General features: G+C 37.1%; 1 protein-coding gene across 10 annotated transcripts in view; it reads right to left on the bottom strand.

The window, feature by feature from the left end:
- SNX27 (sorting nexin 27) overlaps positions 1–24,291 on the bottom strand; it is an 87,031-nt gene that overhangs the window by 14,054 nt on the left and 48,686 nt on the right. For all 10 annotated transcript variants that reach the window (NM_030918.6, NM_001330723.2, NM_001437607.1 and 7 more), the window contains 5 exons: positions 24,165–24,229; positions 22,757–22,861; positions 19,016–19,094; positions 16,392–16,555; positions 1,582–1,671 (listed from right to left, as the gene is read on the bottom strand). In NM_030918.6, the coding sequence (NP_112180.4) occupies positions 1,582–1,671; positions 16,392–16,555; positions 19,016–19,094; positions 22,757–22,861; positions 24,165–24,229 (503 nt within the window). The remainder of the gene's footprint in view (positions 1–1,581; positions 1,672–16,391; positions 16,556–19,015; positions 19,095–22,756; positions 22,862–24,164; positions 24,230–24,291) is intronic.

The raw sequence follows: 24,291 nt of genomic DNA, 5'->3' as shown, positions 1-24,291 counted from the left end.
GACCAGCCTGGCCAACATGGTGAAACCCCATCTCTACTAAAAATACAAAAATTAGCCAAGCGTGGTGTTGGGTGCCTATAGTCCCAGCTACTCGAGAGGCTGAGGCAGGAGAATCGCTTGAGCCCAGGAGGCGGAGGTTGCAGTGAGCTGAGATCACACCACTGCACTCCAGCCTGGGTGACACAGCAAGACTCAGTCTCAAAAAAAAAACAGTTTAAATAACTTTATTCTAAACTGGGCTTTGTGTTAGATGATTTTGCCTGACTGTAGGGTAATATGTGTTCTGATCACATTTAAGATAGGCTAGGCTAAGCTATAATGTTTGGTAGGTTAGGTGTATTAAATGCATTTTTGATTTAATATTTTCAACTTAAGATGTGTTTATTGGGATGTAACCCCATCGTAAGTTGAGAAGCATGTATAATTGAAAAAACTTCAACTGCATGTGAATCTGCCAAGAGAGAAATTTAAAAATGTTATAATGAGTAGAAATTTTTATGTGTTCTTTACTAATTTTATTTTTGACAATTTCCATCCCTGTATCTATGGCAGATACAAATTGAAAATGAATTTAAAGCCATTTAAGGAATACTCTAGGCAGCCCTGTTCGGCAAAACTTTCAGTGATGATGAAAATGTTCTATACCTGCACAGTCCAATATGCTAGCTATTCACTGTGCACATATGGCTGCTTAGCATTGAAATGTGGCTAGAGCAGCTAGAGAACTGAATTTTAAATTGCATTTAATTTAAATGAATTTAAATTTATATTTAAATACCTACATGAGTCTAGTAGCTATTGAATCAAATAGCACAATTCTAGGATGATATACTAACCAAGAGCACTACGGAGCATAAATGTTTAAGCAACTGCAGAAATGGAAGCTGTAAAAACAAATGATTTTGCTATTGCTAAATCATGACTAAAATAACTCCTAATGTTAAAAAGCTAAATATCAGGTCTTATACAATCTTATCTATATCCTATTGTAATGTTTTACACAACTTTTGTTTTAGCACTTTTTAACCAAAAAATAGTTATTATTAATAATAAAATTATGGGCCAGGCTCAGTGGCTCAGTCCTGTAATCCCAGCACTTTGGGAGGTCGAGGCAGGTGGATCACCTGAGGTCAAGAGTTCGAGACCAGCCTGGCCAACATGGCAAAACCCTGTCTCTACTACAAATACAAAAATTAGCTGGGTGTGGTGGCACATGCCTGTAGTCCCAGCTACTCGGGAAGCTGAGGCAGGAGAATCGCTTGAACCCAGGAGGCAAAGGTTGCAGTGAGCCTAGATCGCGACACTGCACTTCAGCCTGGGCAACAGAGCAAGACTCTGTCCCTCCCCCACCCCACCCCCCAAAATAATAATAAAATTATGTACTAATACACAGTAATTCAAGATCTTTGTGTGTTAAATGGAGAAACACAATGGACTTTGCATCAAGGTCCCTATTCCCCTCCTTTTTTAAAATTAGTTAAGCCACTAACCAGGTTGTAATCCTTTCAAAAATGACTAGGACTATAGGTTTTAAAGGTAGGAAGGGGCATTTTTAAAGGGATTATGGGGACATAAACTTACCATGACCATTTTTCTTTGTTCGTATAGCTTCTGTAATTGATAGGACTTTTCTTCTGCTTTGATGTAACCTTTCTTCACATCATCGACTGCCTATCACCAAAACAGAAGTAGAGCAGAAAGGAGTGTAAAAATCATTATTATGTACATTCTCGATGAAAACAGACACAGACGCATTTTCAGAAAATCTCTTATCCACTTGGACCACCATCATTACCAGTGAACTCTGCCACATGTCCAGGGATATGGTCTGGCTCTGTGCCTCCACTCAAATCTCATCTCAAATTGTAGTCCCCATATGTCGAGGGAGGGACCCGGTGGGAGGTGACTGGATCATGGTCTGGTTTCCCCATGCTGGTCTCATGATAGTGAGGGAGTTCTCACAAGATCTGATGGGGTTTTTTTGTTTGTTTTGAGACAGAGTCTGGCTCTGTCACCCAGGCTGGAGTGCAGTGGCACAATCTCGACTCACTGAAACCTCCGCCTCCCAGGTTCAAGCGATTCTCTTGCCTCAGCCTCCAGAGTAGCTGGGACTACAGGCATGAGCCATCACGCCCAGCTAATTTTTGTATTTTTAATAGAGATGGGGCTTCACTACATTGGCCAGCCTAGTCTCCAACTCTTGACCTCAAGTGATCTGCCCGCCTCGACCTCCCAAAGTGCTGGGATTACAGGCATGAGACACCGCACCTGGCCTAGATCTGATAGTTTTAAAAACAGCAGTTCCCCCTGCATGTGCTCTCTCTCTCGTCACCTTGTGAAGAAGGTGCTTGCTTCCCTTTCACCTTATGCCATGATTGTAAGTTTCCTGAGGCTTTCCCAAGCCATGCGAAACTGTGAGTCAATTAAACTTCCTTTCTTGCACTTTGGGAGGCTGAGGCGGGTGAATCACAAGGTCAGGAGTTCGAGACCAGCCTGGCCAACATGATGAAACCCCGTCTCTACTAAAAATACAAAAAATTAGCTGGGCATGGTGGCAGGCAACTGTAATCCCAGCTACTCGGGAGGCTGAGGCAGGACAATCGCTTGAACCCAGGAGGCAGAGGTTGCAGTGAGCTGAGATCATGCCACTGCACTCCAGCCCAGGTGACAGTGCGAGACTCCATCTCAAAAAAGCACAAACAAACAAAAAAAAACCTTCCTTTCTTTATAAATTACCTAATCTCAGGTAGTGTCTTTATAGCAGTGTGAAAATGGACTAACACATCCAGTAACAGGTATACTTATTGGAATAACTAGCATTTAAAGAATATCTGGCAAGCGCTCAAGCATTCTTTTAGGTATATGTGAGAGATCTGGTTTCTCGTGTCAGAGGACTTAAATTCCAGTTATTTTATACATGTGTAAACAATTAGAGAGCACTGAAAGACAGTATATAATGCTGCATTACAATGAAATAGCAAACATGTATGGTACAGACAGTGATATAGGCAGTCAGAATGGAAGCACTTATTGATAATTACAGTTATCAGGGAAGCCTTAGGTGGATCCCCAAAGAACAGAATGAAGAAGAGAAACTATAAGCTAAAGATAGGAAACAGGAATGAGTCTGTGCTTAAATACTTTGAGAAAACAGATTTGCCTGATTTAAATAAGGGAACAGGAGACAATTAAAGATAATGCTGGATAGGCAGACTAACACTAGATTATGAAAAATCCTAAAAAGTAGGCACAGGAATTTAGACTTAAGGAAATAAACAACAGGGAGCTAAAATAAGCAATAAGAAATGGCTCCTTCTTTATTAAAGAAAGTTTGATTTGTGTTTGAAAGCCACATGAATTAACCTGAAGAGAGAATGAAATAAGGAAGATCAATGATGTTTGGTACTCAAGGTGGAAAGCATTTCCCAGAGTATTTTAAGGAAAGATAGTTGGATAGGCAAATGAGTTCAAGATTAAGTCAAGAGGGCCAGGCGCGGTGGCTCATGCCTGTAATCTCAGCACTTTGGGAGGCCAAGGCGGGTGGATCACGAGGTCAGGAGATCGAGACCATCCTGGCTAACATGGTGAAACCCTGTCTCTACTAAAAATACAAAAAATTAGCCGGGGAGAGGTGGCAGGCGCCTGTAGTCCCAGCTTCTCAGGAGGCTGAGGCAGGAGAATGGCGTGAACCCAGGAGGCGGAACTTGCAGTGAGCCGAGATAGCACCACTGCACTCCAGCCTGGGTGACAGAGCAAGACTCCATCGCAAAAAAAAAAAAAAAAAAAAAAAAGATTGAGAGACTAATTCAACTTCTAGTTCTGTCACCTACCAATGTGTACTTGCATAAGTCATGTAAACCCTTTCACTGTGTAAAACTGGAATATCTCATAGATGTACAAGAAAAAGATGACAGATGTTAAGAGTTTTGTAAAGTATATATCAGTAGCTATTATTAGTATCATTTAGCTATTAAGTTCTTCTAAGAACCGTACAAGGATATGAATGTCCTGCCAGGAAGTGACTAATAGAAAGATTATGCCAGTCTCTCCCCAACCTGGCCATACAAGTGAAGGCTCACTTAGGCACCGAGGATTATAGCCACAGAGGGGATGTTCAAGAAGAACCACGATGCAATGTCAATGTCCTGAAGATCCTGAACACTTTCCTCTTCATCACCAAAACACTGTACTGCTCCAGCCAAATTTAAACCAATTATTGAAAAGCCAGCAGAGAAGTAGAGGGGGGAAATAAATAAACAATACTGGTCTATCCAGTTTCCAAAGAAACTTACAGTGTTATTTAGCTCAGGGAAAAGGCTTTACAACTATTTTTCTTTATTTCTGTATTGTTTCGATGAGAATAAGAATATAAGAATACTGTCTTTCTGTTTTGTTTTTACCCCTAACGCCTAGAACTATGTCTGACTCACAACAGTACTAATATTTGATGAACACTTTCCCAAGGCAGAGGTGGGTCACAGTGATTATCTACTCCAGCAATTCCAAGTGAGCTCTTTTACACATGGGGCAGTAAAAATGGTCTTCTTTCATTTCTAATCAAGAAATTGCTTACCCAGGTGTGGTAGCTCACGCCTGCAATCCCATCATTTTGGGAGGTGGAGGCGGGAGGATCACTTGAGGTCAGGAGTTCAAGACCAGCCTGGCCAACATGTTGAAACCCCATTTCTACTAAAATACAAAAATTAGCCGGATGTGGAGGAGGGAGCAGGTAATCCCAGCAACTCGGGAGTCTGAGGTAAGAGAATCACTTGAACCCGGAAGACGGAGGTTACATCTCCGTGAGCCCAGATCATGCCACTGCACTCCAGCCTGGGAGACAGAGCAAGACTCTGTCTCAAAAAAAAAAAAAAAAAGATTACACTGCTTGACTGACTAAGTGGAAAACATAAATATCACCACCCTAGTTTCCTTTTCTTCTTAAATTTTTTTAATTAAAGTAAAAGATGTATATAATTTAAAAAAACAAAACATATAGTACTAAAAGGCTCCTAATAAAAACAGCAGCCTCTGATCCCAGAGCGTCATTCCACAAAAGCAACTACTTTTAGGCACTTTAAGCAATTTCTTGTGATAATCCCTCCATAATTCTAAATGGCATGCTTACATTGACAATTCTTGACTTACCAATTTTAGACACTGTTGACTTACTGTGTTGAAAATATTTGGTTTTAACTCTCTTGTAGCACCCAAACACTCCCACTTCCTCTTCCCCCAACTTCTCAATAAAAAATTAAATACTCAATAACTGCATTATTATAAATATGTAAACACTATTCACAACTAAGCTATATACTATGCTATGACTTCCTTTCTTGCAAAATTTTTTATTTCCTCTGAGGTTAAATGCCTCGTGTTTTTGTTTGTAACTTCCCATGTACCTATCACCAATTTTTCCTCCACAATAACCAAATATCAAAACTCTTTTACTTAGACATTCATTTTCTAAAAACTGTCAACGGTTGTCATTTGCTGTGGTATCCTCCCTTGTTCTCTTTGTCCTTGCAAGTTTACGCTTTTTAAAATTCCAATACTGCTACTTTTGTGAGCTTTCAGGAAACAGCAGCTTAAATGTGTGTACACTTTGCTAGGTTTAGCCAGAATTTAAATATAAATGATTAATTTCTACCTTATTAATTTTTAAGGAAAAGGTTCATTATTACCATTAGCAACTAACATATAATATCTCATCAATTTAAATGAATACATTATTTCATATTTTAACATTTCTGAAATTGGGATGTATCTTACAATCAATGATGTATCAGTTTAACTGACAGCTTTTTTCTCTTATCAATACATAAAATAATGGTGCATCTTATAATTGATAACATTTTAGAACTGTGAAATTCGTTAAATATTCCTACCATCAAAATATGATACAAAAATAATTGAAATTAAGTAAGAGAAATTTAATATACTTTTCAAAAGATACAGTTGTTTACTTAGTCCATCAAAAAACAGCTGCCAGGCACAGTGTTTGTGGCCAGGTGCGGTGGCTCATGCCTGTAATCCCAGCACTTTGGGAGGCCAAGCTGGGTGGATCATTTGAGACCAGGAGTTTTGAGACCAGCCAGGGCAACATGGTAAAACCCCATCTCTACTAAAAATACAAAAATTAGCTGGGCTTGGTGATATGCAACTGTAGTGCCAGCTAGTTTTATACTTCAAAAAGGCTGAGGCATAAGAGTCATTGGAACCCAGGAGGCACGGGTTGGAGTGAGCCGAGATCATCCCACTGCACTCCAGCCTGGGAGACACAGCAAGACTCTGTCTCCAAAAAATAAAAAACAAAACAAAAAAATAAGTCATTTGAGATGGTGCAGTCACTATGGAAAATAGTATAGCAGTTCCTCAAGAAGTTGAAAATAGAACTGCCATATGATTCAGTAATCCCACTTCTGGGTATATTGAAAAAAGGATCTCAACAAGATATCTGCACACCCATGTTCACAGCAGCATTATTCACAATAACCAAGAAATGAAAGAAACCCAACTGTCCATGGATCAATGGATAAATTAAATGTGGGATATACATACAACATATTATTATTCAGCCTTAAAAAGGAAGGAAACCCTGTTATATACTACCACAACACGTATGAAACTTGAGGCCATTATGTTAAGTGAAATAAGCCAGTTATAACAAAGGCAAATAGTGTATAATTACACTTACATTAAATATCTAAAGTAGTCAAATTCATAGAAACAAAAAGTAGAATGGTAGTTGCCAAGGGGGAGAGGAAAACGGGGAGTTGTTTGATGGGTACAGAGTTTCAGTTTTAATCTTTTGCAAGATTAAAAGAGTTCTGGGCCAGGAGCAGTGGCTCACGCCTGGTAATCCCAACACTTTGGGAGGCTGAGGTAGGAGGATCGTTTGAGGTCAGACGTTCAAGATTATGGTGAGCTATGACCGCAGCACTGCACTCCAGCCTGGGTGGCAGACTGAGATTCTGTCCCCTCCTTTAAAAAAAAGAATTCTGGAGATCTGTTACACAACATTGTGAATATACTTAACACTATTGAACTATACACTAAAAATGGCTTAGAAATTTAAAAAATTATCAAATTGTATACTTTAAATATGTACAGTTTATTGTATGTAAACTATACCTCAATAAAGCTGTTTAGAAATCATTTGAGGCAATAGGAAAGTTCAGAAAAGTTGCTGGATATAAGATACTGCTCCAAAAACATTAACTTTTCTAAATACTTAAATACTTTTGTCTTCTAGTTTTATACTTCAAAAAGCAATTTCACATGCTCTGCCCTCACTTAAATTTTGATAAGCATTAAAAAAAAGCAGCCAGGTGTGGTGGTTCATGCCTGTAATCTCAGTGCTTTGGGAGGTCAAGGTGGGGGGATTGCTTGAAGCCAGGAATTCAAGGCCAGCCTGGGCAACATAGCGAGATACCTTCTCAATTTTTTAAATAAAAAATACATTTAAAATAAAATAAACAAACCCACCTATGAGACACACCACTGTTCCCCTTTAACAGATGAGAAAACAGATCTCAGCAATGTTATGCAAAGGATTTACCCAATGTAGAGCTTATACTTGAATCAGATATTCTGACTCCTAGCTAATGATTTTTCTACTCCAAAAATACAAAGATAAAATATTCCATTCATAATAGCAATAAAAATATAAAATCCTTGGTGATTAATTTAAGGGGGCATTGATAAAACATAAAACCACGTAACTTTTTTTGAGGAAACAAAAGTCAACTTGAATAAAATAGATACTTTATGCATCTATTATTATAATACAACATTTAATTAAAATGGTGATTCTTCTTCAGTAAACTATAAATTTAACAAAATTCCAGTTGGAATAGTAATAGGATAGATACTTTATAAAGTGTTATGAAATGGGTTAAAAATTATTAGAAAACATAAAATGGGAAAGAATATCAAGACTTTTAAAAAAGGAAGGCTTAGCCTTACCAGATATTAAAATATATTATATAGAAACAATAATCAAAAGGGAATACTGAGTCAAAAATAGAAATACAGATTAAGAGCAGAGAGATGCTAAACATAGGCCATATATATACACACACACACACACACACCAGACAGATATAAATTTAATGAAAGACAAGTTAAGCATAATGTATTAGAAATGAATCATTTAATGTATCCTGATGTGCTATGTGGATAGCAATACCAAGAAAATTTAACTTAGACCAACCATTCATTCATACTACACACCACAATAAACCTTGGGTAAATTAAAGCATTAAATATTAAAAATAAAATATTGTGACAAAAGCACACTAAATATAAGTGTGCTATTGTCCTCTTATATTGAGGAAAGAAAATGTTAGTAGAAATCACAATGGAAAAGATAGATAAACATTGTTATACTAAATGTTAAAACTTCTCTAAAACAAAATTCCTGGCCGGGCGTGGTGGCTCACACCTGTAATCTCAGCACTTTAGGAGGCAGAGGCAGGCAGATCGCTTGAGCCCAGGAGTTTGAGATGAGCCTGGCCGATATGGCAAAACCCTGTCTGTACAAAAAATACAAAAATTAGCTGGGTGTGGTAGTGCAAGCCTGTAGTCCCAGCTACTCAGGAGGCTGAGGTGGGAGGCTCACTTGAGCCCAGGAGGCAGAGGTTGCAGTGAGCCGAGATTGTGCCACTGCACTCCAGTCTTGGCAACAGAGCCAGACTCTGTCTCAAAAAAAAAAAAAAAAAAAAAAAAAAAAAAAAAAAAAAAAAAAAAAAAAAAAATTAATAGCACTAAGATAAAAACAAAAACAATGGAACAGAGTAAATATCTATTAAAATGGCAAAGACATAAAAGTTTAACAAAATACAGCAATTTTTGTACAGCAAGGTACAAAAACACAATCAATAAACAGCTGTATTCAAAAGAAAAATATATCTGGGCACAGTGGCTCACACCTGTAATCCTAACACTTTGGGAGGATTGCCTGAGCCCAGGAGTTCAAGACCAGCCTGGGCAACACTGCAAGATCCTGTCTCTATTTTTTTAAAAAAGTAAAAATTAGCTGGACCTGGTGGTGAGCACCTGTAGTTCTAGCTACTTGGGAGGCTAAGGTGGCAGGATCACCTGAGCCCAAGAGGTAGAGGATGCAGTGAACTATGATCACACCATTGCACTCCAGCCTGGGTGACAGAATGAGAGCCTATATAAAAAAAAAAAAAAAAAAAAAAAAAAAAAAAAAAAGAAAGAAAGAAAGAAGGAAGGGAGGGAGGGAGGGAAAGAAAGAAAGAAAGACAGACACCAAAAAGTGATATTACAAGAGTTAATCACAGCATCATTTATAATCACATACTCAAAAAACAACCTGGCTCTAGCCAGGCACACATGTAGTCCCAGGCACTCTACTTGAGAAGCAGAGGTGGGAGGATTGCTGGAGCCCAGGAGTCCCAGGCCAGCCCCAGCAACATAGGGAAAACCCATCTCAAAACAAAACAAAACAAAACAAAAAAACTCTGGAACAAATAACAGGGAATGACTAAACAACATATACTACATTAACTCAGTCATAAATGACATATAAAAAACTGTATGAAAAAGGAAAAAAGAAAAGAAAAAGGTTGTATCTGTATTAGAATTATAACTATGTAAAAATTATACATCCATATAAAGACCTAAAGCCAAATATACATGTAAATACTTGTAGGAAAAGTTCCTAAAAGAGGGCTTCCAATTAGGGATGGCAGATTAAAAACAAGTATCAACTCTTACTTCCTCCTAAAACCCCATTAAAATTTCAGTAAAGGAATAAACCCATGAGATCAAAGGGAAACAATCAGAACAAAATTTTGTAATCTGGAACACGGATATATAAGTAGTAACTTACAAAACCTGAAAAAAAAAAATGGATTCCCTACCTAGTAGTAGGAAAAGTAGAGAACTACTCAAATTTATATGACGAAATTCCCAAAAGACCGAAGAATCTGTAGCACCAGGTGGCCATCTAGGAGAGGTGGTAGATGTGGCTAAAATAAGGAGGACTGACCGAAAGCATATTTAAGAAACAATCAGTGCCGGGCGCGGTGGCTCACACCTGTAATCCCAGCACTTTGGGAGGCCGAGGTGGGCAGATCACAAGGTCAAGAGATCAAGACCATCCTGGCCAACATGGTGAAACCCCGTCTCTACTAAAAAATACAAAAATTAGCTGGGTGTGTTGGTGGGTGCCTGTAATCCCAGCTACTCAGGAGGCTGAGGCAGGAGAATTGCTTGAACCCGGGAGGCAGAGGTTGCAGTGAGCCAAGATCGCGCCATTGCCCTCTAGCCTGGCGACAAAGCGAGACTTTGTCTCAAAAAAAAAAAAAGAAACAATCAAATTCTGAGATCCTTTCCTTTATTCCCTGGAACCAGATGACTGCCCTCTTCAATGCCAGTAGAAGACTAGTGATTTGGCTAGGCACGATGGCTCATGCCTGTAATCCCAGCACTTTGTGAGGCTGAGGAGAGAGGGCTGCTTGAGCTCAGGAGTTCAAGACCAACCTGGGAAACATGGTTTGAAAACATGGAAAAAGATAACTTCAAAATAAAAAAACATCAAACATGGTTTGATGAACCAATCAAAAGTAATAACTACAACAACTTTTCAAGACATAGTACAATAAGGTATATATAAATAGTAACAACAAAAAGTTAAAAAGTGTGGGGGTATATTTAAGGCATGGAGCCTTTATTCGTTTTCTTTTTGCTTGCTTGTTTGTTTATGCAAACAGTGCTGTTACCAGGTTAAAATAACAGATTACAAGAGAGTATTTGCAAGCCTTGTGGTAACTGCAAACCTACAAACATACAACAAATACACAAAAAATAAAAAGTAAGAAACTAAATCATATCACCACAGAAAATCACCGTCACTAAAAGGAAGACAGGAAGGAAGGAAAGAAGGAAAAGATGATCACAAAACGACCATAAAACAAGTAACAAAATGGCAAGAGTAAGGCCTTACTTATCAATAGGAACACTGAATGCAAATGGACTAAACTCTTCAATCAACAGACATACAGTGGCTGAATAAATAAAAAAAAACAAGAACCACTGATCTGTTGTCTACAAGAAACATACTTCACCTACAAAGACACACACAGATGGAAAATAAACGGATGGAAAAAGATACTCCATGACAATGGAAACCAAAACAGAACAGAAGTAGCTATACTTATATCAGACAAAATAGATTGTAAGACAAAAATATAGGACAAGACAAAGAAGGTCACTATATAATGATAAAGGGGTCAGTTCAGCAAGAGGATGTAACAATTTTAAATATATGTGCACCCAAAACTGGAGCACCCTGACATATATTTAATATCTAAAGCAAATATTATTACAGCTAAAGAGAGAGACAGACTCTAATACAGTAATAGCTGGAGACCTCAACACCCAACTTTCAGTACTGGACAGATCTTCCAGACAGAAAATCAACAAAGATACAATGGACTTAATCTGCATTATAGACCAAATGAATCTAATAGACATTTACAGAACACTTCATCCAATGACTGCAGAACACTCATTCTTTTCCTCAGCACAGAGATCATTCTCAAGAGCAGACCATATGTTAGGTCACAAAACAAGTCTTAAAACGTTTTTAAAAAATGGAGTATCAAGTATTATTAATATCAAATAATATCAATATGATCAAGTATCTGACCATAGTGATATTATAATAATATCAAGTATCTGACTATAATGGAATAAAACCAAAAATCAAAAATGAGGAATTTTGGAAACTATTCAAGTACGTGGAAATTAAACAATATACTCCTGAATGACCAGTGGGTCAATGGAGAAATTGAGAAGGAAATTTAAAAATTTATTGAAATAAATGATCATGAAAACATAACATGCCAAAACCTATGGGATACAGCAAAAGCAGTACTAAGAAGGAATTTTATAGTTATAAATGCCTACATCAAAAAAAAGACAAAAATTTCAAACAATGATGCATCTTAAAGAAATAGAAAAGCAAGAGCAAACCAAACCCAATTAGTAGAAGAAAAGAAATAATAAAGATTAGAGCAGAAATAAATTAAATTGAAATAAAAAAATACAAAAAAAGAGCAATGAAACAAAAAGTTGGTTTTTTTGAAAAGTTAAACAGACAAACCTTTAGCCAGATTAAGAAAAAAAAAAGAAGATCCAAATAAAATCAGAGATGAAAAAGGAGATATTACAACACTGAAGAAATTCAAAGAATCATTTGTGGCTACTATGATTAACTATATGTCAATAAATTATAAAATCTAAAAGAAATGGATAAATTCCTAGACATATACAACCTACAAAGATTGAACCATGAAGAAATCCAAAACCTGAACATACTAATAACAAGCAACAAGATCGAAGCCATAATAAAGTCTCCAGTAAAGGAAAGCCCAGAACCCAGTGGTTTCACTGCTAAATTCTATCAGACATTTAAAGAAGAATTAATACCAATTCTAGGCAAACTATTTCAAAAAAAGAGAGGAGGAGGGAATACTTCTAAACTCATTCTATGAGGCCAGTATCACCTTGATACCAAAACCAGACAAAGACATATCAAAAAAGGAAACTACAGACCAATATCCCTGATGAATATTAATACAAAAATCCTCAACAAGATATTAGCAAAATGAATTCAACAATACATTTAAAAAATCATCATGAGCAAGTAGGATATATCCTTGGGAATGTAAGGATGGTTCACAAACACAAATCAATCAATGTGACACAGCATATCAACAGAGTAAAGGACAAAAACCATATGATCATTTCAACCGATGCTGAAAAAGCATTTGATAAAATTCAACATCCTTTCATAATAAAAACCCCTCAAAAAACTGGGTATAGAAGGAACCTCAACATAATAAAAGCTATATATGACAGATCCACAGCTACTACCATCCTGAATGGGGAGAAACTGAAAGTCTTTCCTCTAAGATCTGGAACACAAGGATGCCCACTTTCACCACTGTTATTCAACATAGTACTAGAAGTCCCAGCTAGAGCAATCAGACAAGACAAAGTTATAAAGGGCATCCAAATTGGAAAGGAAGAAGTAAAATTATCCTTGTTTGCAGATGATATGATCTTATACTTGGAAAAACCTAAAGACTCCACCGAAAAACTATTAGAACTGATAAATAAATTCAGTAAAGTTGCAGGATACAAAATCAACAACAAAAATCAGCAGCATTTCTATATGCCAACAGTGAACAATCTGAAAAAGAAATTAAAACACTATGAAAGAAAGGTGAAGAGAGGACACCAACAAATGGAAAAAGTATTCCATGTTCATGGATTGGAAGAATAAATATTGTTAAAATGTCCACACTACCCAAAGCAATCCACACATTCAATGCAATCCCTATCAAAATACCAATGACATCTTCACAAAAATAGAAAAAAAAAACTATCCTAAAATTTATATGGAACCACCAAAGACCCAGAATAGCCAAAGATATCCTAAGAAAAAGAAGAAAACTGGGTGGGGTGTGGTGGCACACATCTGTAACCCAGCAATTTAGGAGGCTAAGGCAGGAGGATCTTGAGCCTAGGAGTTCAAGCCAGCCTGGGCAACACAGCAAGACCCCCCACCTCTACAAAAACTTAAAAAATCAGTCGGGCATGGTGGCATGGGCCTATAGCCCCAGCTAGTGGGGAGGCTGAGGCAGGAGGATAGCCTGTGCCCAGGAGGTCAAGGCTGCAGTGAGTTGTGATCATGCCACTGCACTCTGGTCTGGGTGACAAAGCGAGACCCTGTCTCTGGAAAAAAAAAAAAAAAAGAACAAAACTGGAGGAATCATATTACCTGACTTCAAATTATACTACAGAACTATAGTAACAAAAACAGCATGGTACTGGCATAAAAACAGACACACAGACCGATGGAACACAATAAAGAACTGAGAAACAAATCCACATACCTACAGTTAACTCATTTTCGACAAGGTGCCAAGAACATGTACTGGGGAAAAGACAGTCTCTTCAATAAATGGTGCTGGGAAAACTGGATATCCATGTGCAAAAGAATGAAACTAGCCCCCTAACTCTTGCCATATACAAAAGTCACATCAAAATAGATTCAATAATTAAACCTAAATCCTCTAGCTATGAAACTACTACAAGAAAAAATCAGGGAAACTCTCCAGGACATGAGTCTGGGCAAAGATTTCTTAAGTAATACCCCACAAGCACAGTCAACCAAAGCAAAAATGGACAAATGGGATCACATTAAGCTAAAAAGCTTCTGCACAGCAAAGGAAACAATCAACAAAGTGAAAAAGCAACTCACAGAATGGGAGAAAATATTTGCAAACTACTCATCTGACAAGGGATTAATAATCAGAATATATAAGGAGCTCAAACAACTCAACAGGAAAAAAAAAGAAATGCACATAGAAACTACAATGAGATATCATCTCACCCTAGTTAAAATGGCTTATATCCAAAAGAGAGGCAATAACAAATACTGGCAAGGATATGGAGGAAAGGGAACCCTTGTTTACTGTTGGTGAGAATGTAACTTGTACAACCACTCAGAGAGCAGTTTGGAGGTTCCTCAAAAAACTAAAAATAGAACCATCATACGATCCAGCAATCCCACTGCTGGGTATATACCCAAAAGAAAGAAAATCAGTATTTTGAAGAGATATCCACATTCCCATGTTTGCTGCAGCACAGTTCACAACAGTCAAGATTTAGAAGCAACTTAAGCATCCATCAACGGATGAATGGATAAAGAAAATGTGGTACTTACACACAATGGAGTACTATTCAGCCATAAAAAAAGAATGAGAGTCAGTCATTTGCAACAACATGGATGGAAGTGGAGGTCACTATGTTAAGTGAAATAAGCCAGGCACAGAAAGACAAACATCACATGTTCTCAATTATTTGTGGACTGTAAAAATCAAAACAATTGAACCCATGGAGATAGAGAGTAGGATGGTTACCAGACTCTGGGAAGGGTAGTGGGGAATTGGGGAAGAGTCAGGGATGGTTAATGGGTACAAAAAAAATAGGTAGAATTAATGAATAAGGCCTAGTATTTGATAGCACAATAGGGTGACTATAGTCAATAATAATTTAATTGTACATTTTTAAATTACTAAAAGAGTATAACTGGATTGTTTGTAACACAAAAGATAAATGTTTGAGGGGATGGATACCTCATTTTCTGTGATGTGATTATTACACACCATATGCCTGTATCAAAACATCTCATGTACCCCAAAATATATACACCTACTATGTACCCACAAAAATTAAAAATAAAAAATTACATATATAAAAAGAGGAACAGCTCTGAAAATGTATCCTACAAAAATATGGGAGTAAAGCAAAACAAAACAAACAATGTACTCTCACACTGGAAACAGGAGATGGTGGTAGTGAAGGGCAATCCCAGAAGGCCAGCTGTGCACCACAGTAGAGAGCTGCCACTTCACACGGGGATAGAGGAAGAGACTCCACAGGAGATTTCTTCAGAAAGTGGAAATCATGAACTACCTGATGGGTCTGAACTGAATGTCTTTAGAGGAAATTTAGACAACTGGTGAAGAGTATGGAGCTAAATTAATTGTAAGTACACAGAAAATTAAGCAAATGAAAAAGGAGGGCAATAATTAGCTGGGGAAAAATAAAATGTAAAGAAAGTGAAAAGTAAAGACAGTGTTTATTATATGGCTCTGTTGTAAATCTCACTATTTACAGTCATAATATTGTAAACACTGCATATTGACCTTACAAATATTATAATTTGACTATATTAAGGGGATGGGAGAGATGAAAAAGGTATGGGTATATGGTAGGAATGGAGAAGGAAAGACAGCTGGTGTCTCATCTTCAATAGTGGGAAATGAAGAGATGCTGCTGGAATCTGAAAAATTAAGTAGGAGCAATATAACCAAGTTATAATGGAGACATAGAAGTAAATACCAAACAAACAAACAAACAAACCAATAAAAAACAAGAGCTAAAAGAGGTGAAGGTGGTTGCCTATGGGGGGAGATGGAAATAAGTAGGGGCAACTACTGTTTTTCACAATAAACTGTGTAGAACTATTTGATGCTTTAAACTCTATGTATGTATAATATTGGTGGAAAATTTTTGAACAGGTACACAGCCACAATGCTCATTTTCTATTGTTTAAAAATATTAGAATACATATTTAAAAAATACGTATTTTTAAACTCCAGGATATCTTTACTTCTAAAACTTATCTATTATTTATCTTTCGTGAAATGGGATAGAACATTTTACAAATGTAATTCAGACCCAGGAGCAAAGCAGCCTGTCTAAGGATTTACAGGGAATTGGCAAAGTACCAACTATATTCAAACATAAAAAGAAATTGTGCCTTTCAAGAAGATCAATTCACCTACCTGATGAAAGAAGTAGGTAACAGCAAGGTCATTGTCATTTAAGAGAATTTCTTCTTCTGTTGTAAAAAGCCACTTTCGAATGGTCAAGCAGGTGCCTGGCACAGCTGATGTATAATTCTGAATGTAGAGTTTGTGAGGAAACTCATTAGGTGCCAATTTACGTACTAAAGGAAAGACAAAACACAGAAAGCTGGAGTGAAAAGATATAAGAAACTTCCCTAGTATAAACTATGTAAGGCAGATCAAGAATGGTATGTTATCATTAACCAGAACATCATCTCAAATCCACCAAGGAGTTCTGCCTTGGGAGCACAAAACAGCCTTATCTGTCCAGCCAAATATCCTTTCTAGCTATGGCCATGGCCAGTCAAGTCTCAAGCTAACTGAAACCTATCACTTGAATGACAAGTGCCGTGGTTTGGATATTTGTCACCCCGCAAAGTTCATGTTGAAATTTGATCCCCAATGTTAGAGGTGGGGCCTAATGTGATCTCTACACACACCATAGGTGGAAGAAAACAGCCTGAGGACCTTACCAGATGCCCAATTTTGAACCCAGTCTTAAAGATGTTTGGTAGACATCAGCTGAAAACCAGCAGAATCATGAAACAAATAGACCTTTTTTCTTTATAAATTACCCAGCCTCAGGTATTCCTTTATAGCAACACAAAATGGACTAAGACACAGATCAGTTAACATGACAACTCTGCAAACAGCACCAACTCCAAATTTAGTTAAAATATCTAATCCATTAGCTAGTTACAGCTCATGTCCACTAAACATCTTTTTTTTTTTTTTTTTTTTTTTTTGAGACGGAGTCTCGCTCTGTCGCCCAGGCTGGAGTGCAGTGGCGGGATCTCGGCTCACTGCAAGCTCCGCCTCCCAGGTTCACGCCATTCTCCTGCCTCAGCCTCCCAAGTAGCTGGGACTACAGGCGCCCGCCACTACGCCCGGCTAATTTTTTGTATTTTTTTAGTAGAGACGGGGTTTCACCGTTTTAGCCGGGATGGTCTCGATCTCCTGACCTCGTGATCCGCCCGCCTCGGCCTCCCAAAGTGCTGGGATTACAGGCGTGAGCCACCGCGCCCGGCCCACTAAACATCTTTAAAGCAAGCCTCTCCTCTTACCCAGCTATGGTACATTCAGAGTCTCTCATGTGGCAATTCTCAATGAACTGCTTTTATTGTTAAGGCCAAAAGGTTTTTTCCGCCCACCTCCAAAAATCCTACAGCATTCCTCAAACTGAAAACTGTCTTCTGAGTAATGTTACTTCCTCTTTCTAACAGCCACTCGAGCAGGATAAAAAAACTACCACTTTTAATTTCTAAATTGCCTTTTTGTGGAAAGGCTGAGAGGCTGAGTTTTCTTTTCTTTCCTTTTTTTTTTTTGAGACAGGGTCTCACTTGTTGCCCAGGCTAGAGTGTTGTAGCACAATCATAGCTCACTGTAGCCTTAACCTCCTAGGCTCAACTGATCCTCCTACCTCAGCCTCCTAGCTTGGACCGCCTGCATGTGTCACCATGCTTGGCTAATTTTTAAAATTTTTTTAGAGATGGCAATCTCACTATGTTGCCTAGGCTGGTCTCAAACTCTTGGGCTCAAGCAATCCTCCTGCCTCGGCCTCCCAAACTGCTGAGATTACTTCCTCTCTCAATGTTTACTTGGCTTTATAACACTACAAAAGACAGATTTAATATTTTCCATTTTATAGAAAGTGAAACTAAAGCTTAGAAAAAAAATAAGGTTAGAATCCAGATGTCCTGGTACCTTAGTAATCCTTTGTAACATAATTTACATCTGTCTAGTTACACTGCTGTGAGTTGGGAAGAAAAAAAATATTAGGGAGATGGCTGCTTTAGGGGAATCAAAGTTATTCTACCTGGACCTGAGATAGCAAGGCAACCTAAATCTACCAAACTCTCCCCCTTTCTGGGATAAGGAAGGTCTAATCAACCAATATTATCTATATCAATTTTGGCCTTAGCCCTGTATAAATATATATGACATGGAAGAGACCCATAAACTGTAGGAAATCTATGTCATTCAGAGAGAGCCCTCAGACTCTCTCCCCTTTGTAGTCTCAATGCAACCAATGTGACCACCATCCCTAGCTTTTATAAAATAAAATATAAATTTCCTGTCACCACACAATAAAATTTCCTTGGAAGAGGAAATTTATTCACACAGAAACTTAAATGTATGCATTAAAACAAGGCTTTTAACCAACACATATCTTCCTAACTTCTGAAAACAGAAAGCTACGCTTAAGAATCTTTACAAAAATCCTATAAAGTACACTAAAACAACATGTGGCTAAATAGAACATCCCATTTTTAAGCCTGTTTTATTGGAATATATGAATTTTGAACCTCAGATTTAAAAGAACCTCATGAAAGCATCTTCCGATTCATTGCTAGTTATAACCTATACTTACAAAAGAGGAAAAAGAATCAACAGTGATCAGACATGCTTATGACCTGAGTTTAATGGGATATGCTTGGTCTGATTGTTAGAGACAGTTCTAATGAGTGGGATCTCCCCTTGTCTTCAAGCTCTTCTCTAGGTAAATGTTTCTTTCTCATAGTATTAGAAAACAAAACTTAGTATCAGCCACTGGTACTTACCAAAGGAGTGACTGATCACTTCAAATAAGGCAAAGTAATTCACTGTCGTACTGTCCATGCCAACCTTTGCTGCGATAGCCTAAGGTTAAACAGGATAGATTGGTTTCAAGAAAATTAAGTCAGACAATGCTGTAGGAAAAAGCAGGTGTATGTCTGTGGAGGAGGGAAAGGGGAGAGGTTCTGCCATCTTGGCCTCACAAAAATTGCATTAATGGTCCATAGCTATCCTTCTTTGTATGTATGTGTACATGCATGCACGCATACATATATATGAAAGAAAAGGGAAAAAACACCTGTATCTGCCCCAACAGCTATTATCTCTAAATACGAGCTTCTCCCTTCCAGTGTAAGCTGATAATAGTCTCTCCTTAAATATCAGCTTCCCTCTCTAAAATAACTTCATTCTATTTTTAACACCACTTACAAGAAATGTACTTAATAGCACAGATCTTAAAAAGAAAACAAATTCTTAAATATCCAGTTTCACACATTCAGCCTACATTTAATACATTAACACAAAAAAACTATATATTTGATTCTAGAGTGTAAAATAGTTTGTCAATTATATTCTGGCTAAACAAAATTTTTTTGTTTACTTTTTAGATGATCCATGTCTCATGTTGGGATCATTAGGCACCTCCATTTCCTAAGAATTACCATCATAATATCTACATAAAATAGCAAAATGCTGGGACAATAAAGGCATATTAAACAAGAATCACTCATTCTCTCTAGGAACTCAGGTCCTAATATGACAAATAAAAAAGAAATTGGAAAACTGTGTGCAAATAAATGACAATTACATACAAACAACAACAAAACATAAACTGGTAGTAACAAAATTTCTTTTCAAGATCAACCTCAATATAAGTAAGGTATCTCTTTTTCATGCCATTGTTTTGTTGATAAAACAAAGATAAAACTGTTGATTATTAGTATCTCAGTAAGCCAAATGTGATTATATCCCTTCTTCTCATATCTGCTCACATATGAGGCCTAGGTTCATCCATTATGTGATAGAGGAACTGGACATTATAAGCATTCTAAATTACCATTGTATATTGCACTGGATAGAAATTAAAATGCTTTCAAGGTTTAGAAAATAGTTTATAGCTAGAAGTCTCAGTAACAGAGTTGGGAGGAAAGTGTAAAAAACCTAAGCCTTGCTAGAGGAACACTGGAAAAAAGCAATCAAAACAAAACAAAAAGATCAGAAAGCTGTAAAAATAGTACTTTTCTTGAAATTCCCTACCATTGTATAATTTCATAAATGCCTGAGATCCTGCATATATCATTTGCCATAAAATACAGTGAATGAATAAATGTATGGGGGATAGGTTTTTTAATGTTTGCTACAAAAGAGAAATATAAGCATTAGTACCCAGAAACCTGCTTGTCTCCCTGAAAATTCTGATCAAGTTAGGATTAAAGGCCATTGAAAAGGCATACACAGGCAATGATTACACCCAGCACGCAGATCATGATCTCTAAATACAGTTTCTCACTAAAAGAATAGGACTCCTTAGGGAAATGTCCTATTCTAGATATCTAGGGTAAGAAATATACAAAGATGAGGCCAGGACATCTTATTGTACCAAAAAGCAAGGATAATATGAAAATACTAGGTTGCATCAAAAGCATACAGGAGCAGACATGAAGGAGCATTCATTGGCCAAAGATGGAACAATCTGAGCATCAAAAAGATAATATATGTTATCGATTAAATCACACTGAATCTAAAAACCTGAGACTAAATTATTATATATAATATATACTATTTCATAATGCATTATATATTAAATATATATTATTTGTATATTATTATATTATTTAGTATATTATATAATTATATATAAAGTATATATTGTTTAATATGTAACATATCATATGTTATTAATATATATAATTATATTTATATATAATGATATATTTACTCTGAAAATCAGCAATGAAAGGAAAAGCTTAAATATGTATCCTGTCTTTCCCACAAACTGGGAAATTATCTATTTCAAGATAATTAAATAGCGTTAGTTGACAAGGAAAAGTTATTTTCAGAAGAATTCTAGCTAATCGGTGGAAGAAATGAGAGTATTAGAAAATCAGCACTTTGTAATCTTTAATGAAATCACTGGTTAAGGCAATAATCATCAATGGATCGATTCATTTGATCAAAGATCAGTGGTGAATTTTACAAAGAAAACATCAGATTTCACCACCTAAACCTACTGGTTAACCTCAGTACCACTAAAATGGGATAACCCAGTATTGTGTACTTGTTGTTGAGAAGCAATATAAAGTATACAGGACCAATTATGAAGTATTATCAAAAAAGCAGAACCTGAATCTAATTGAGCCTCTAGAGCAAACTTCCATTTATAGAAAATATAGAGACACAGAAGGACATTATTAAATGACACCACCAGAAAACAAACAGATATATTCAGAATATGGGTCATTCCACAGGACACTGACCCATTTCTGCAACAAAACAATGGCATGAAAAAAAAAATGGGGAGAAGTGGGGACTGTTCTATATTAAAACAAACATAAAAATCAAATGTGAGGCCGGGGTGGTGGCTCATGCCTGTAATCCCAGCACTTTGGGAGGCCAATGCAGGAGGATCATGAGGTCAGGAGATTCAGACCATCCTGGCTAACACAGTGAAACCCCATCTCTACCAAAAATACAAAAAATTAGCCGGGCGTGGTGGTGGGCGCCTGTAGTCCCAGCTGCTCGGGAGGCTGAGGCAGGAGAATAGCGTGAACCCAGGAAGTGGAGCTTGCAGTGAGCCAAGATCGCACCACTGCACTCCAGTCTGGGCGACAGAGCAAGACTCCGTCTCAAAAAAAAAAAAAAAATCAAATGTGATCTAAGGACCTTGTTTAGATTCAGATTTTAACAAACCAAATGTAAAAAATCATTTTTAGACAATTGGAAAAATGTGACTATGGAGTAGTTATTAGGCAATACCAAAGCAATAGTGCTAATTTTTAAGGTTTGATAATGGCACTGTGGTTTTGTAAGAAGATGCATACTGAAGTACACACAGGTCCGATAACATGGGATTTGCCTTTAAATACTTAAAGGAAAAGAAAAAAGACATACATAACGCAAATGTGGCAAAATCTTGATAATTATTAAATATAAATGATTACTATATGGAGATTCATTATACTATTCTGTTTTCATGTGTGTTATGGTTTTTTTACAATAAAAAAAGGAGGGGTTGGCCAGGCGTGGTGGCTCATGCCTGTAATCCCAGCACTTTGGGAGGCCGAGGTGGGTGGATCATGAGATCAGGAGATCAAGACCATTCTGGCCAACATGGTGAGACCCCGTGTCTCTACTAAAAATACAAAAATTAGCTGGGTGTGGTGGCGGGCACCTGTAGTCCCAGCTACTCAGGAGGCTGAGGCAGGAGAATCGCTTGAACCCAGGAGGCAGAGGTTGCAGTGAGCGGAGATTGCGCCACTGCACTCCAGCCTGGGTGACAGAGCAACACTCCATCTCCAAAAAAAAAGGAGGCGTTAATCACAACTACTACAACCTGGGATATTTACCGTACCTTTCTTTTAAGGAGGGCAAAGTACTTTCACATTAATAATAACAATAGTAGCTAACATTTAATAAACGGATTATGTGCCAGACACCCTAAGCACTTTATATGTATTGACTTATTTAATCTATCTTCCTTAGCTTCACACCATCCAATGTCAAGTCTACGTGTTCATTTAATTTACCTGATATACTTGGTCTGTAGTACTGTTCTTTTTAACCCTGACTGTAACCGTTGTTCCATCTGGTAATGCTACTCTCAGCTCTACGTCGGACACACCATTGTAGTTCTGGGGGAAAAGACATAGAGAAATAATTTATGGCCCAGTATATCTTCACTCTCCCTGTAACAAGCTAGCTAGACAATAACCTAAAACGTGGTAGAGAAGAAGTGAGTTCCAATGAAAACGGGAAAAAAATCAATACATTTACAAGTCATAAAGCTGACTTCAGGGCTGCAGCAGAAGTTAATCTTTAAGATAAGCAGGAAGGAAAGAAACATGTTGAAGCCAACGTGTTCACATTTCAAAACAGGAAACTTGCGTGAAACAGTCTAGGTCAAACACAGATGAGATTTTTGATTCGCTTCCCTTTCCCCATTCAGAATTCACAAGTGAGAGGAGAAAACAACTGAAAGCAGTAGTTTCGATGTATATTCTCTGGTATTAATGGTCAGGCATATAGACTGGATCAAGAGATATACTAAGTTTCTTTCTGAACCCTGAAATAATCAGGAGATTGTTAAAAGAAAAAATGGATACCTGAGTCTCATCCATTTTTCCTTTCAAAGTTAGCCTGATGCCCAATTTTCTTCTAGCAAAAGGTAAACAATTCTTACTCTCCTTAATTCAAAAGAAATCCTCTTACTGCTTTTGATGATTAACACATTCTTCTAACCTTGTAATTTTTGACCTTGTAATTTTTACGAGAGAAAATTATTTCAGACCAAGTCCATTTTCATTTACCACTTTTAAAAAAGTACTACTCATTGCCTGAAACAATCATAAGCATTGATTTATTGTAAGCCCTTGCCTGTAAGAAATTTATAATCTAGTGGGAAAACAAGGCATATACATATAAAATAAGTAGTGGATAACACACTACTATATTGGCATTAAATATTCATTCTTCTATTCAATTAATATTTATTAAGCACCTACAACATGCTTGATGCTGTGGTAAGGCACTGGGAATATAAAGATGGTCAAGATTTAGCTCTTACCTACAGGTAGCTCACACTCTTGTAAGCTAAAAATATAAAGCGACTATCTGATTATATGTACAAAAATTAGAGAATGAGATAGCAACATGTGATCACTGAATGGAACTAATTGCAAAAGTTTTTGGTGGAATGAAAAATTGATGAAAACTCATCAGGGATGGTTTCAAAGAGAAAGTGGGCCTGGCACTTCAAAGAGAAAGTGGACCTAGGTCTTAAAGGATAGATAAGTAGGATACATATAAAAAGGAAGTAGAAAAAATGGAGTCCTTTGGAGAGCTTATGGAAATTTAATGCATAATCAATACCTTTAACTTATTTTCCCCCACAAGGAGCCAAAAGGAAAATAATCACTAAAAGAGATATTCACCTACCTCATCGGATTCTGATAGGAATTCCTGCATGATGTCACTCTCACCAATTACTCGTATTGAACACACTGTAGAAAATAAAGATAAAATCTGGCATAAGGCCTTAAAATCAAGAATATAAAGTCAAAGA

This window comes from Homo sapiens, chromosome 1 (genome assembly GCF_000001405.40).
Source record: "Homo sapiens chromosome 1, GRCh38.p14 Primary Assembly".
NCBI classification, from domain to species: Eukaryota; Metazoa; Chordata; class Mammalia; order Primates; family Hominidae; genus Homo; species Homo sapiens.
This window is presented reverse-complemented; position numbering and strand designations above follow the sequence as displayed.